A 17052-nucleotide genomic window follows, 5' to 3' on the forward strand; every position below is an offset into this window, starting at 1 on the left:
TCCAATTTGTTGGCATATAGTTGTTTATAGTAGCCTCTAATGATTCTTTGTAATTCTGTGGTCTCAGTTGTTATGAGTTCTTTTTTGTTTCTGATTTTATTTATTTAGACTTCTTTCTCTCTTTTTTAGTCTAGCTAAAATTTTGTTGATTTTGTTTATCTTTTCAAAAAATCAACTTTTCATTTCATTGATATCCTGTATTTTTTTAACTTAGATGTTTCTTTGCGAATTATCTGTCTGGATAATTGGCCCATTACTAAGAGTAGGGTGTTAAAATCCTCTACCATTATTGTATTGCAATCCTTCTCTTCCTTTAGATCTACTAATGTTTGCTTTATATACTTGGAAGCTACAGTTAATGGGGTGCATATATAATTATAATTGTTATATTATCTTACTTAATTGACCCCTTTATCATCATATGGTGACCTTCTTAGTCCCTTTTTACAGTCTCTGATTTGTACTCTATTCAACCTAATATAACTGTAGATACTCCTCCTCTTTTTTGGTTAGCATGTGTAGCATTTTTGGTTAGTATAAAATATCTTTTCCCACTCCTTCACTTTCAGTCTATGTGTGTTTTCATATATGAGGTGAGTTTCTTGTAGGTAGCATATAGTTAGGTATTATTTCTTTATCCATTCAGCCACACTATGCCTTTTAATTGGAGAATTGAGTCTGTTGACATTCAATGTTATTATTGATTAAATGTGGACTTATTGTTGCCATTTTGTTGCTTGTTTTCTGGTTGTTTTGTAACTCCGCATCCTTTCTTCCTTTCCTACAGTCTTCCTTCGTGGTTAAGTGATATTCTTTGGCATTATGTTTTAATTCTTTTTTTATTTTTAGTGAATCTATTATAGGTTTTTGCGTTATGGTTACCATGAAGCTTACAAAAAATCATAGATATATAACAAATTATTTTGAAGAGATGACAACTGCTGTGCACAGTGGTTCATGCCTGTAATCTCAATACTTTGGAAGTCTGAGGTGGGAGGATTGTTTAAGTCCAGAAGTTTGAGACCAGTCTGGGCAACACAGTGAGACCCTGTCTCTACAAAAAATGTTTTTTAAAAAATTAGCCAGGCATGGTGATGTGTGCCTGTAATCCAGCTACTTGGGAGGTTGAAGTAGGAGGATCACTTGAGCCCTGGAATTTAAAGCTGCAGTGAGTCATGATCATACCACTGCACTGCAGCCTGGGGGCCAGAATAAGACCCTGTCGAGAGAGAGAGAGAGAGAGAGAGAGAGAGAGAACACAGAGAAGAATAGAAACAAATAAAACATTTTTTAAAACTCTACAAATTAACTCCATTCTCTCAACGTTTTGACTTTATGTTGTCTCAATTTACATATGACGCCTATCTCTTAACAGGTTTCTATAGCTATTGTTGTTTTTGATAGATTTGTCTTTTGGGCTTTATACTAGAGTTAAGAGTGGATTGCACACCACAATTAGAGTATTAGAGTATTCTGGGTTTGTCTGTATACTTAGTTTTACAAGTGAGTTTTATACATCGAAATGTTTTCATTCTGTTCGTTAGTGTTTTTCTTCTTTCAAATTGAAGAACTCTCATTAGCATTTCTTGGAAGATGGATCTGATGGTGGTGAATTCTGTTTTTGTTTGTCTGAGGACGACTTTATCTTTCCTTCATACTTGAAGGACAGCTTTGCTAGATATAGTATTATTAGCTGACAGTTATTTTTTTTCTTTCAGCACTTTGAAAATGTTATACCACTCCCTCCTGGCCTATATGGTTCCTATTGAGAAATCTGTTGCCAGACAAATTGGGTTTTCTTTGTATGTTATTTGCTTATTTTCTCTTGTTACTTTTTGGATCCTCTCTTTGTCCTTGACCTTTGAGGGTTTGATTATGCATTGGAGTAGTTTTATTTGGGTCTTGCTCTGTCACCCAGGTTGCAGTGCAGTGGCATGATCATGGCTCACTCTATCCTTGACTTTGCAGGCTTAAGCAATCCTTCTACCTTAGACTTCTGAGCAGCTGGAATCACAGGTATGTGTCACCACATTCAGCTAATTTTTAAAAATTTTTTGTAGAGACAAGTCTCACCATGTTGCCCAGGCTGGTCTCAAATTCCTGGGTTCAAGTGATCTTCCCACTTTGGTCTCCCAAAGTGCTGAGATTATAGGGGTGAGCCACTGTACCTGGCCTATTTTGAATTTTTGATCAGAGAGTTCACATATTGCCATCTCATTAGGGTCAGTTTCTGATTTCTTGCTTTGTAAATCTAGAGAAATCATGGGTCCCTGTTTGCTGTTGTTTCTTGTTGATGTATGCCTATATCTTTGCATTGAAGGCTTAGTTATTTGTCCCAGTCTAATCAGCCTCGTTTTGTTGTTTATTGGATATGTTTCCTCAGAGATTCTTTGTAGTTTACCCATTGATTTTCTTTCTTTTTTTTTCTGCTAGGTTTCTGCCTCCTTCTTTGTACTAGATGGTGCCTTAAGCCCAGGTTTGCCTCAGTTCTAATAGACAATTAGTGTCACTGGTCTTAAATAGGGGAGGTCTCAAAGGGGATGACTCAGTAGTGTGGCACTGCTGGCTATAGGCTCATGCCCAGGGGACCTGTGGGATGAACCTCCTACAGCATGGTGCTGGTGAACAGCCACTGTGATTTGGTGTCTCCTTTGATCAAGTTACAGGGTTAAGTTTCCAAGGCTGGGGCTAGTAGTCTAGCCTCCCTCTTTTGTCTCTGGCTATCCTCAGTGATCTTTCTTCTTTCAGGCACTCCTGATACTTCCCATGGTTGAAACAGAAATGGGTCTCCTGCCAGTGAACCCAAGAGGATGAGGAAGTTGGTTTACCACCTTGATCTTATTTTTTCCAGTATTTTTCCAACTGTGAGTTGGGGAAAATTTTCTATGGCTAGGTGCTGGATGGATTGTGGGGAGGGACATTGTGGATATGAAAATCCAATTTTCTTACTATCTGCTCAGAGTTTGTTCACTTCTCTGTGGCCCAGGGAACCACATATATTCTCCTGATATTTGAGTTCTGGGATATTGCTGGTGATAATGTCCATGCTGTCTATTTGTTTTTAGTTTTCTGTGGGAGGAGGTGAAGCCAGCTTACTTCTACACCATGATTTTGGAACCAGAAGTACTCCAAATCTCTATATTTTCTGAGTCATTTCTTTGGTTGTTGGTCTAGGGCTTCCATAGAGTCTCAATTTATCAGAATCTACTTAGAGTTCTTCTAATTTAATTTCAGTGAACTATAGAAATGTTACTTCTAGAAAACTCTATGTCCTCTTTTCCTTTTTGTGCTACTATTGTTATACATATTACATCAGAATATGTCAAAAACCTACCAATACACTGTTATAATTGCTACTTTATATATGGACACTTCTGTATAGAGAGCAAGTAAATATTTTTTAGCTTATTATATTTGCCTTCTTATTTATCATTTCTTGTTCTCTTTATTGGTTCCTGTGGTTTTGAGTTACCATCTGGGATCATTTCCTTACTCCAGTACCTACCCACTCCTTTGTGCTGTTATTGTCAAACATGTCACATGTATAGGCCTAACAATACCTATATGTTAGTGTCATACATATGTATACATGTATATACATATGTATACATATATACATTCTGTTTCATACAATTGCTTTTAAAATCAGGTAAGAGAAGAAAGAAGAAAATATGCATTTGTTTATTTATTAATAATTGCATAACTACCTTTAACAGGGCTCTTTTTTTAATGTGGGTTCAAATTTTCATCTGGGTTTACTTGCTTTGAGCCTGACTGATTTCCTTTAATATTTCTTATAAGGTGAACCTGACAGCAGTAAATTATCTCAAGTTTTGTTTATCTGGGAATGGTTGTATTTTACCTTCATTTTTGAAAGATACATTTACTGAATATAAGACTCATGGTTAATATTTTTCTTTGAGCACTTTAAGTGTGTCATACTACTAAGCAGTCAGCTGTTCATCTTATTGGGGTTCCCTTGCATGTAATTTTTTCTTGTTGCTGTCAAGATTTTATCTTTGGTTTTGGCTTTCAGCATTTTTATTATGTGTTTGGGTGTGGCTGTCTTTGTATTCATCCTAATCAGACTTTGCTGAGCTTCATGGATATGCAGATTAATGTTTTTCAGCAATTGGAAGTTTTCAGCTACAATTTTTTTTTTTTTTTGAGACAGTCTCGCTCTGTCATCCAGGCTGGCGTGCAGTGGTGTGATCTCATCTCACTGCAACCTCTGCCTCCTGGGGTCAAGCGAGTCTCCTGCCTCAGCCTCCTGAGTAGCTGGGATTACAGGTGCCCACCATCATGCCTGGCTAATTTTTGTTTTTGTTTTTGTTTTTTTAGTAGAGATGAGGTTTCACCATGTTGGCCAGGCTGGTCTCGAACTCCTGACCTCAGGTGATCTGTCTGCCTTGGCCTCCCAACGTGCTGGGATTACAGACATGAGCCACCATGCCTGGCCTCAGCCATTATTTCATCTAATATTATTTCTGTTCATTTCTTCTCTCCTCCCAGTATTTCTGTTACATGTGTGTTTGTGTGTCTAAAGGTGTCCCACATTACTCTGAGGCTCTGCTCATTTTTTTCAGTCTATTTTTACTCTGTTCTTCAGATTGCATGGTCTCTATTGATCTATTTTTAAGTTCACTGTGTATTTCTTTTGCTGGTTAAAATCTACTGTTGAGCCCCTCTAATGAATTTTTCATTTTATTTATTACACTTTTAAACCACAGAACTTTTGTTTTTTTATAGTTCCTATCTCTATTAATATTCTCCATTTGATGAAACATGATCTTCCTATCTTTTATAATTTCTTTAAGCATGGCTTCCTTTAGTTTTCCAAACATATTCATAACGCATACTTTGAAGACTTTGTCTATTAAGTATAACATCTGGAGTTTCTCACAGGCAGTTTCTGTTGCCTACATTTTTCCTGTGTATGGGTCCATGTTCCTGTTTTTTTGCATGTCTTATAATATTTTGTTGGAAATGAGGACATTTCTGGTAATATAGCAACTTTGGAGACTGATTGCCCTTCTCCCTCTCTGAAGCTTAATTTTGTTTGCTTATGTGTTTTATGACTTGGCTAGACTATCTTAGTGAAGTCCATTTCACACAGAATGAAGTCTTTGGTGTTGCTCGTCAAAAGGCACAGCCTGGGGCATGCACACAGTTACCTTGGGATGAGGGTGGTTTTAGCACACTCTCTTTGTCTCTTTTCTGATCTCTCTGTTAAGCTGTCTGTTTCATTTGGTATTACTCTCCATCCTTTAGACTCCACAAATTACCAACTGATTGCTTTATGTCTTTTTTGACAATGCCCTGAAACATTAATTTCTGAGCAGCCCAATCCAATCAAATTTGGAGAGGGCTAGATTGTGAGCTCAGTCTTTAAGGTTTATTCTGTACCCAGTGGAAGTCTTCTTAGCTATCTCTTTCCCAGATTCTCCCTGGTGACCTAGATGGCCTATGGTTTAGCTTGTTCCTCCTAATTAAGAGCAACTATTGATTTTGAGAGCATCCTTAGGCTTAAACTTCTCCAGTCTCTTTCAAATAATGTCAGGTCCTTTGTGGAGAGCTTTTTCTATGTGCCGCCTCTCCCCTGGCACAGTCTCTGAGCCCTGAATGGGCCATGGCCTCTGTCTTCATTGCTTGCCTGTTTTGGTGTAAACACTCTGCCTTCAGCTGAGGCAACGGTGGTTAGGGTGCCAGTATCCTTGGCCTGATGTGCTAGGGTAGAGCTTCTGTCCTATCGGTAGAGGAAGGAAGCTCCGTATCTCTCAGTCACATTCACCAGGAACTCTTAAACTTGGAATTGAAAGGAATTAGAAATGCTAGTGGTCTGCCCTTCTCAGTAAGGCATGGAATGACTTGGTTGGGAGGAAGAGGGAGAGGGAGCACCATATTTTGATCACACTCACTCAGAGTGGAGCTTCTGTGAAGCTGAATAGAGAGGAAGCTGGGGTGGGGGGACACGGGGAGGGAATGGGCCATGGCTCAATGCCACAGATTCTTGCTATTCTTACTGAGTTTTAATATGTTTTCTTGAATAAATATTTCTTTATTTGCTGTATGCTGCAGGACAATTTCCAGAGACTTTTAATGACTTATTAAAGAAATGTTTTTTTAAAAAATAGCTGTTGACAGTCTTCCTTTTTTTTTGTGATGGGGTTTTGCAATGTTGCCAGGCTGGAGTAAAGTGGCTATTCACAGGTGCAATCATAGTGCACTACAGGCCTGAATTCCTGGGCTCAAATGATCCTCCTGCCTCAGCCTCCCAAGTAGCTGGGAATTCAGGCATGTGCCACAATACCTGGTCTAGTTTTGCTTTTTTCACTGGAAGTGAGTCTGCAAAGATTCATATTCTAACATCCCTCTATAGCTTCTCAGTAAACTGACAAATTGTTTTTGTAAGTGTTTGTACCCTGTTACATTCCCACCGGTTCTAGTTTCTCCTCATTCTTACCAACAATTCATATCGTCAGCCTCTTTCATTTTAGCCATTCTAATAGATATGTAATCTGACAAGGAATTAATAACCAGAATTAAACAACTCAAACAACTCAAGAGGAAAACATAGAATAATCTGATTTAAAATGGGCAAAAGATCTGAAGAGACATTTCTCAAAAGAAGACACAAATGGAAAACAGGTATATGAAAAGGTGCTCAACATTGTTGATCATCAGAGAAATGCAAATCAAATGCAATGAGGTATCATCTCACCCCAGTTAAAATGGCTTTTATCCAAAAAAATGTACAATAGCAAATGCTGGTAAGAATGTGGAGAAAAGGGAACCCCCATATGCTGTTGGTGGGAATGTAAATTAATACAACCACTATGGAGAACAGTTTGAAGATTCCTCAAAAAACTAAAAAAAGAGCTACCATATGATCCAGCAATCCCACTGCTAAGTATAGACCCAAAAGAAAGGAAATCAGTATATCAAAGAGATATCTGTACTCCCATGTTTATTGTAGCAATGTTCGCAATAGCCAAGATTTGAAAGCAAGCTATGTGTCCATCAACAGATGAATGGATAAAGAAAATGTGGTACATATACCCAATGGAGTCTATTCAGCTGATAGATGTATAGTAGTATCTCATTGTGTGTGTGTTTCTTTGTTTTTTTGTTTTGTTTTGTTTGTTTGTTTGTTTTTTGAGATGGAATCTCACTCTGTCGCCGGGCTGGAGGGCAGTGGCGCAATCTCAGCTCACTGCAACCTCTGCCTCCTGGGTTCAAGTGATTCTCCTGCCTCAGCCTCCTGAGTAGCTGGGAATACAGGCACATACCACCACACCCAGCTAATTTTTGTATTTTTAGTAGAGAGGGGGTTTCACCATGTTGGCCAGGATGGTCTCGATCTCTTGACCTCATGATCTGCCCGCCTTGGGCTCCCAAAGTGCTGGGATTACACGCATGAGCCGCCTTGCCTGACCTTCATTGTGTTTTTGATTTGCATCTCCTGATGAGTTCAATGTTGGGCACCTTTTCATGTGCCTATTTGCTATCCACATATATTCACTGGTGAACTGCCTGTTCAAAGCTCTTGCCTATTTTTAAATTAGAATTTTTCTTATTTATTTAGTTTTGAGAGATCCTTTGCAAAGTTTTTTTTCCCAATCTGTAGCTTGTCTTTTCATTCTATTAACAGTGCCTATTGCAAAGCAAAAGTTTTTAATTTTGATGAAGCTGAAGTTATCAATGTGTTATTTTATGTATGGTGCTCTTGCTGTTGTAGCTAGTAAATCTTTGCCTAGCCCAAGGTCAAAAAGTTTTCTGCCATGTTTTCTTCTAGACATTTTATAGTTTGGAGGTTTACATTTCAGTATGTTTTATATGGGGACTAAATTTGGGGTATAAATTTTGGGTTGAATTTCGGTATTTTGCCTACTTGATCCAATTTTTCCAGCACCATTTGTTGAAAGATTCTCCTTTCTCCACTGAATTGCCCTTATCTGTAGTCAAAATTCAGCTAAATATATTTGTGATAATTTGTTTCTGGACATTTTCTGTTCCACTGATGTATTTTCTATCTTGCCAGTGACAGAGTTTTTGATTACTGTGACTTTATGATAAGTTTTGCAATCAGATAGTGTTTGTCCCCCAATTTTGTTTTTCTTTTTCAGAAAAAAGTTTGATTTGGTGTCTTTCTTATATTTTCCATGTCTTAACCTTTTGAACGTACAGAATACAATTACAATAACTGTTTTAATATTCTTCTTTGCTAATTCTAGCATTTGTGTCACTTCTAGGTCAGTTTTGATTGATCAACTTTTCTCCTCATTATGGGTTGTGTATTCCTGTTTCTTTTCATGCCTGGTAATTTTTTATTGGATGGTAGTCATTGTGAATTTTACCTTGTTGGGTGCTGAGTGATTTTTTATTCCTGCAAAGATTAAGCTTTTTTCTGAAACACAGTAAAGTTACTTGGAAACAGTGTGATGATTTAAGAAAGCTTTTAAGCTTTCTTAGGTGGAGACAGGGCAGTGTTCAGTCTAGAGCGAATTATTCCCTACTAATGAGGCAAGACTTTTCTGCATAGTCTACGTAATGCCCTGTTAATCATGACGTTTTCCAATCTGTCTGGTGGGTACAGGCACTATTCTTGGTCCTGTGTGAGTACTGGGTATTGTTACTGCTAATCCTTTCAGGTGATTCTTTTTCCATCCTTGAGTAGTTTCTTCACATGCATGTGCTGATCCAGACTCTGTTGAATACTTCGGAAAGACTCTCCACAGTTCTTTGGAGTTCTCTATCTGTGCACCTCTCTACTCTCTAGTACTGTGTCTTACAAACTCTAGCCACCTAGTCTCTCCAGACTCTTAGCTCTGTCTCTCAAGTCAGTGAGACCTTGAGACTCCATGCAGTTCCCTCTCTCTATACCATGGCCTGGAAACTCTCAAAGGCACTGATCTGGAGTAATTGTAGAGTTTGTCTCCTTTATTTCCTGGCTTTTATAGATCACTGTCCTTCAATGCCTGATGTCCAGTGTCTTGAAAAACCATTGTTTCATACATCCTGTTTATTCTTTAGGTTGTTTCAGGGAGAAAGGTAGATCCGTACTATCATTCCATCTTGCCCAGAAGATGAAGGCTTTTTATAATTTAATTTCATAAGTTTATTTGTATAAAGAATGATTGCCTTGGGGAGGTATGTGGGTGTGGACTGGAAGGCTAGAGTTTGAGGGAGCAGGACCAGACCTAGAGACAAGTGTGGAGGCTTTCATGGTCACTGCTCCAGCCCTGTGGCCCAGGGTGGTTGGAGACCTGGCAGGAAGGGCTCTGCATAGGGCTCTGGCTGCCTCCTCTCTGGGGTAGGGCACCTGTGACTCCTCTCAGACCCCTTTGGTGTCCAGACAAGGCTCTGTCCTAGGCATATCCTGTCCCATGTGTCTGTGCCCACTTCCTACCTGCTCACCTGCAGGTGGGCAGGAGCACCTGAGGTCTGGTACATGATATGGCCATAGTTGGGTATTACCAGTACACCTCAGCAGTCACCGGAGGCTGCCAGCATGATCTTGGTGGCTGTCAGTGACTCATAATGCCTATTCATACTAGCAGTTCTGGATGCAGGGCCCTTGGCTGTAACCTTGAGATGGCCCAGGGGAGCCCTTGCTTCCCAGATTGCCTGGGACTGTGTTCTGGCTTCCCAAGGAAAAAGTCAGTGCATTCTTTGACCTCAGACATCCATTCTAGGAGTTTGTCCCCAGCTAGCTAGACTTGTCAACAATCACAAGAAAACCTACAATGAGTTTCACTATGGTGGCATGAGAACAAAAGATTGAAAACGATCTGTGTCCTCCAATAGCAGCAGTAAATAATTTATGCTCCTTTTACCCAATGGAACACCATGCTGCTGATGAAGAGGCAGAGGCAGATCCAAACATCCTGATAGGGACCAGTGACCAGGATGTATTGTGAGGTGGAAAAGACTAGGTGCAGACAGAGTTCAACACATGCTGCATTGCATCAAGCCATGCAAATCCCTATTTTTCACTTTCATGTAAATGGAGTCATACATTATGGAATCCGCTGTATCTGGCTTCTTTTCCTCAACACGATTTTTCTGAGATTCATCCCTGTTGCTGCATGTGTCAGCAGTTGGCTCCTCTTTGTTGCTGGGTGCACTGTGTGGGTGCACTCCACTTTATCTAGTCTCCTGCTGATGGGAATCTAAGTCGTTTCCAACATGGGAGAATTCTTAACAAAGTTTCTATGAACATTTTATACAAGTCTTTGGATGGATAGGTGATTTCATTTCTTCTAGGCCAATGCTTGGGAGCCGATTGCTGAATCATGTGGTAAATATACTTTTAACTTTATGAGAAACTGCCAAACCTTTCCCAGCATGATTTTACTGTTTTACATTCCTATCAGCAATATATGAGGTATGCAGTTGCTCTACACCCTTGCCTACACTTTGTATTGTCTGTTTAGTTTTAGCTATTCTGGTGGGTGTGTAGTAGTGGTATCTCATGTTGTTTTTAAAGTGAGGAGCACTTTCACATTTTTGCTGACCATCAGTATATTTTCTTTTTTTAAGCCTTTTACCCATTTTTATTGGGTTATTTTTATTGAGTTGTAATGGTTCATTATATTGGATATATTCACAGTTGAGATAGAGAAAGAGATCAATTTTATAGATCTTTTCAAATAACCAACTTTCCATTTCATTGATTTGCTCTATTTTTGTTCACTTTTTATTTTATTATTTTAGATTCAGGGGGTACATGTGCATGTTTATTACATGGGTATATTACATACTGGTGGGGATTGGGCTTCTACTGCACCCATTATCCAAACAGTGAACCTTGAACATGATAGGTAATTTTTCAACCCTTGTTCCCCCTCTCATCCTCTCCACTTTTGGAACCCTCAGTGTCTATTATTTCCATCTTTATGTCCATGTGTACCCATTGTTTAGCTCCCAGTTCAAAGTGATACCATGTGGTATTTGATTTTCTGTTTTTGAGTTAGTTCACTTAGGATAATGGCCTCCAGCTCCATCCATGTTGCTACAAAAGGCATGAGTCCATTCTTCTTTATGGCTGCATAGTATTCTGTGATGTGTGTGTGTGTGTGTGTGTGTGTGTGTGTGTGTAACACTTTCTTTATCCAGTCAATCATTAGTGAACACTTAAAAGTTGGTTCTATGACTTTGCTATTGTGAATAGCGCTGCAGTCAATGAACATATAAGTGCAAGTGTCTTTTTTTAACATAATGATTTGCTTTGGGTAGTTACCCAGTAGTGGGATTGCTGGGTCAAATGGCAGTTCTATTTTTAGTTCTTTGAGAAATCTCCATACTGTTTTCCATACAGGCTGAACTAATTTACATTTCTACCAGTGGTGTATAAACTTTCCTTTTTCTGTGCATTTACACCAGCATCTGTTTGTGGTTTTTTTTTTTTTTTTTTTTTTTGACTTTTTAATTAATAGCCATTCTGACTGGTGTAAGATGATATTTCGTTGCGATTTTAATTTGCATTTCTCTGGTAATTAGTGATGAGTATTTTTTCATGTGTTAGTTGGCCACTTGTATTTCTTCTTTTGAGAAATGTCTATTCATGTCCTTTGCCTAGTTTTTAATGAGGCTTTTTTTTCTTATTGAGTTGTTTAAGTCCCTGTAGATTCTGTATATTAGTACTTTGTTGGAGGCATAATCTGCAAATACTTTCTTCCATTTTATAGGTCATCTGTTTACTCTTTATTTTATTTATTTATTTATTTTTTGCTTTGCAGTATTTCATTGATTTCTGTTCTTATCTTTATTTCCTTCTTTCTATTTTGAATTTGATCTCTTCTTTTTCTGGATTCTTAAGTTGGTTACTTAGATAATTGATTTTAGGCCTTTCTTCTTTGCTAATATAAGCATGTAAAGCTATAAATTTCCCTTTAAGCACAACTTTACCTGCATTCCACAAATTTTGATATGTTCTGTTTTAATTTCATTAGTTCAGAACATTTTCTAATTTCCCTTGTGATTTCCTCTTTGATCTGTAGGCTATAGAAATGTGCCACATTTAAATATTTGAGGGTTTCCTTAGTATCTTATTGTTATAGATTTCTAATTTAACTCTGTTAAGGCTAGAAAACATATCCTATATGCTTTAAATTATTTTACTTTATTAAGACTTGTTTTGGTGAATGTTCCAAGTACACTTGGAAAAAATGCATATTTCCAATATAGTTTTCTGTAAATGTCAATTTGGTTAACTGGTTCTTAATGTTGTTCAATTGTTCTATATCTTTACATAATTATTTTTTAATCAGTTACTTAGAAAGGAAGGTTAACTCTCCAACTATGTTTGTTAATTCTATTTGTCATTAGTTTTGTCATTTAGTTCTGTCAAAATGCTTCTCTGCATTTTGAGTGTCTGTTATTAGTTGTGTTTGTGTTTAGCATCAATATGTCTTTTTATAGAATTAACTCTTAGCATTATAAATTGATTCTCTTTCTCTGGTTTTCATGTCTTTTACATTTTCCCATAGTTACCATTCCTGACATTCCTCATTTCTTCATACAAGTCTGTTTCCACCTGATGTCATTCCTTTTCAATTCAAAGAAACTTCTTTTAACATTTCTAGTAGGTCAAATCTACTGGTTATGAATTCTCTCAGCTTTTGTTCATAAGAAAATATCTTTATTTTTCCTTTATTTTTAAGGGGTGTTTTTGCAGTCTGTAGAATTCTAAATTGACAAGTTTTTTTTTCTTTTAGAATTTCAGAGATATCATTCTATTGACTTGCCTTATTTCTGATACTCAGCAGTGTTTTGGTGTTTTTTTGTTAAGTCTTTGGCTACCCCATATTATAATTGTGTCTTTTGCCTGGCTGAAATGTTTCTCTTTAACTTTGCTTTTTAGCCATCTGAATATGATGAGTCCTGGTATGGTTTTCTTTCTATTTATTCTGCTGGAATTTAATTGAGCTTCTTGCATCTGTGGGGTTTATAGTTTTTATCCAATTTCAAACATTTTCTCCAATATTTCTTCAAATATTTTTTCCTGTCCCAATCTCTTGCTGCTTCTTTTGGGACCTCAGCTGCATGCATGTTAGACTGATTGACATTGTCCCACATATCTCTGAGGCTCTAGATTGTTTTTTTCTGGTCTCTTCCCCCTGTATGCTTCATTTTGAATAGCTTCTATTGCCTTGTCTTCAAGTTCAAGCCTGGTCCTTTCTTCTGACGTGTCCAAATTTCACTTTGCAAATATGTTATTTATCAGTTCTTGAATTTCCACTTGATCCATTTCTGTAGTTTCAGTTTCTCTACTGAGATTTCTCATTTGTTCACTCATTGTGTCCATTCCCCTCTTTAAATTCTTGAGCATAGTATAACTGATTACTTAAAGTTTTTCTCTGTCAATCCAACAAACTATTTATTTCTATCTCTTTATGTTGACTTTTTTTCCTCCTGGTTTTGGGTTCCCCTTTCCCTGTTTTTTGGTTTTGTTTTTGCATATCTGGTAATTTTTTGTTGCATTTTAAACATTGTGGATGCTATGATATTGAGAGCCTGGGTGTTGTTTAAAGAGTGTTGACTAGTTTTCTGACAGGCACTTAGTTTACTAGAAAATGATTGGTACTTGTTAGGCTTTTTATGGTGGGCCTAGAATAGCCCTTCACACTGGCTGGGCAGAATTCCAATGTCTCCAAGAATTGTCCAGCCTCTAGAATCTCCATTTACCTCTCAACCATCTAGCAGTGGTTCTCTGCTAAATCTCGCAGAATCTCACCTTAATGCATTTGCAGCTTAGCATTCTGCTAGAGACTCAGTTCTTCTGTACAGAATTCTACTACTCTGCATAGCTTCCTCCTTCCCAGTACTCTGCCCTTCAAACTCCGTCTGCCTCAGAAGTCCCAACCTCCAGTCTTTCCTCTGCCCATGGAGCTTGCTTTGTAGGTTTATATCCCTGTGCCACAGTTTGAAAAATGCTCCCAGGCAAAAAGCCAGAGCAAATGCAGGGCTCGCCTGTGTGTTTCCTTCTCCCGAGAATCACAGCTCTGCTTTCTCTGCTGCCCAATGCTTGAAGGTAGTTGCTTCATATATATTTGGTCTAGTTTTACAGCTGCTTATGCTGCTTATGGGTAGGGTAAATCTGATACTCTGTACTCCATCGTGACCATAGCTGGAGGTACAAACTCCCTCTTTATTGTTCAAATTTTATATTTAAATTTTTCACCTTGTGTATATATTATTTTTATATTAACTTCTTCAAATGTTGGTGTAAACATCCCCAGTGCAGGCAGTGCCTGACTTGCCTGTTCAGCTTATGCACTACCTCCTCACAGCCTGCCAACCACTCTCCCTTTCCCTCTCCCTCTCACCAGGGGTCTGAGAGTTTGAAATGAACTAACCCTTGGTGTGCATACTGGCTCAGCCACTTACTAGTTCAGTGACTTTGGGTAAGCTGACTTAATCTCTCTGATCTCCAGTTTCTTACAGGCAAAATAAAGAGGATAATCCTTCCCTCATAAGACAGCTTTGAGAATTGAATGAAATTGCTCCTCTAGAGTGCCTTCTACAAGTCCATACTATCATGTAAGTGCTCAAAAATGTTTTTTTATTTTTGTCCTCCCCACTCAGTGCTACAGTAACAGAACCTTTGGTCCAGAGCCTGGGATGTTGCCTTTTGCCCACTGGAATTCCCATCTTGGAAGAGTAAGCGCAGGGGATTGTCCAGACAGCCAGGAGGCCAGCGAAGCCAAGTCCTTCAGTACAGCCTGGGAGCCTCCAGGAAGCTGTTAGGAGTTGCCATGATGGGTGCATTTGGACTCACAGAATCTGCCTTCCAATCTCAGTGCTGCTTCTACTCCTTTGCTACCTTAGGTATCTCATTCCTGTTAAAACTGTCTTCTTATCACAGAATGGGGAAATGTGTTCCTTGAGGATAAAAATGAGAGGTCATTTATTAACATGCTTGGGAAGGATGATTTTATGTTGTTTTGTCCTTTCTGGTCTCTGCCTGTTAGCCCCCATCATGACCTTTGTAAAATGTTAGCCTGCCCATTCCCTGGCCATGCCCCCACCCAGCTCCCCACTACTGACAGGACAAGGTCCAAGCTCCTCACCCAGAGCACAACATTCTCCATAAGTTGGTCTCACTCCATCTCCAGTGACTTCTCCCTCCACTGATCTCATGTGCCTCTGCCCCCACCCTTCCAAAGCTAAACATTTTGTGTGAACACTTCTGGTTCTTTCCTGCCTTCTCAGGCTTCCACAATATGTTTTACCACACAGAAAAAATTCCCTCCAATGTCCATCTGACAAGCTCCTATTCATCCTTCAAAACCCTGTTCTGATATACCATGCTCCATTCTGCCCTCTGATAAGCCAGGCAAAGTGAGTCATTCCTCTTCTTTGCCACCCTTGGCCCTTCCTTCTCATGGTCATCACAGCAATCCTGCTGAAAGGGAACTATGAGGTTATTTATCAATCTTTCCCTCTACTGTGAGCCCATTGAGAAAAGGGCCCAATATCTTTTCCATTTTCAAATGTTCAGCTGGGAACCCTGACCAGGAAGGGTAGGAGAGCTGATCAGTGCATAATGGATAGTGGGTAGGTAGATGGGTAAGTGGATGATGGGTGGATGGATAGGTGGATGATGGATGGGTGGGTGGATATGTCAATGTGGGAGTTAATTAATGTTTATTCTATTTGCCTATCTGTCTTCCTCCTTTGAATCTTAGGTCTTTGAAGACAGGTCCATACCTTGGGTGTTTGTATTTGGACAACCACAGACATTGCCAAGAAATGTATCTGTTCTACTTGCACACCTTCACCACCTGGATGCTGCTTGAGGACACAGATCTGGTCCATCAGATTTCTCTCTGTACTCCTCTCTATATTTCGCCATATTTGATATAGACCCATCAATGGCTCCCTAGAATAAAATCTCAACTCTTCACTGTGCCCACAGCCCCAGTGACCTTGCCACTTCCATCAGAGCCCTCACACCAGTGCCCAGACATACAGACTGACCTCCTGACCATCCCCCAGATGTGCTAAGGCCGGTTCTGCTTCTGGACTTCTGAACAGACATGTTTGGTAAACCCAAACATTTCAGATGGTGAATAGCTCTGAAAGCAAAGTAAGACAGGGTAGGGCAGGAAGGACTTCCAGCAAAGTCACCCCAGGCTGGCCCCTTTCTCCCTCTAGAGCAGGAAACCCTTCCTGCAGGACTCAGCTCAGGACCCAGTGATAGAGGTGCCCAAGGTCAGGGGAGGAGTGTGGAATGATGAGGGGCAGAGGGTGCTGCCAGCCATGGGGGGGAGGTGGTGGAAAGGTCATGTGCTTATTTGTTTGTGTATTTGCTAGGATTTTATTAAGCACCTACTATGTATCATGCACCTACTGTTCAGGCACTGAGAGCAATGCGGTGAACAAATCAGCTAAGTCCCTGCCTTCAGGAGCTTACTGTGCTGTGGGGGAAACACAGTAAACACTCAAGCCAGTCAGCACTGTGCATAATATTATGTCAAACTGAGGTCAGGGCTGGGAAGAAAACAAATGTGCAGTGGCATTGTGACAATGGCCAGGGACCTCTGAGGGGAGAAGGAGCTGGCCCTGCAGTGATGGGTTAAGGGTGTCCCAGGCAGAGGAAACAGCAAGTGCAAAGGCCCTGAGGCAGGAACAGGGAACTCAAAGTGGTGGCTGGGGTGTGGGAGTGGGGGAAGGACAGGAAATGAGAGAACAGAAGAGGCCCGAAGTCCCCTGTGGTCTGATGTGCCCAAAAAGTATGGTAAATGGGTGCTAGACTTGAAAAAGGAGGGCATTTCACATCAAAAGCCAGATGCCCAGCTTCTTCTAAACACTGGTATTACTGGCATCTCTGAGCCTGTAAATTGGTCAAGAGTCTCGCTCCCGCCCCTGCTGGGCTAGGCAGGTGCCTCAGCCCTGTAGCTGGGGTAAGACCTATGCACCAGGCCTGGTATTTGTACCCACACCCCTGCCGGACTCTCCGTGGGTTTCGTTTGAACCCTGCACCTCACACACACCTGCGTCAAGCCCTCCCTGGCCCCCACAGGAGAGAGGCCCATCACTCCCCCT

The 17052-nt window shown here is 39.8% G+C and overlaps 1 long non-coding RNA gene across 2 annotated transcripts in view; it reads left to right on the plus strand.

Moving 5' to 3' along the window:
• LOC101928014 (uncharacterized) overlaps positions 1 to 15921 on the plus strand; it is a 49991-nt gene extending 34070 nt beyond the window's left edge. Inside the window, exons 2-4 of one of the 2 annotated variants that reach the window (NR_188449.1) lie at positions 2749 to 2864; positions 14590 to 14832; positions 15693 to 15921. This is a non-coding gene — a long non-coding RNA (uncharacterized LOC101928014). The remainder of the gene's footprint in view (positions 1 to 2748; positions 2865 to 14589; positions 14833 to 15692) is intronic. The other variant, NR_188448.1, reaches the window with a different exon arrangement.
• Positions 15922 to 17052: the final 1131 nt, after the last annotated feature.

This window comes from Homo sapiens, chromosome 9 (genome assembly GCF_000001405.40).
Source record: "Homo sapiens chromosome 9, GRCh38.p14 Primary Assembly".
NCBI lineage: Eukaryota > Metazoa > Chordata > Mammalia > Primates > Hominidae > Homo > Homo sapiens.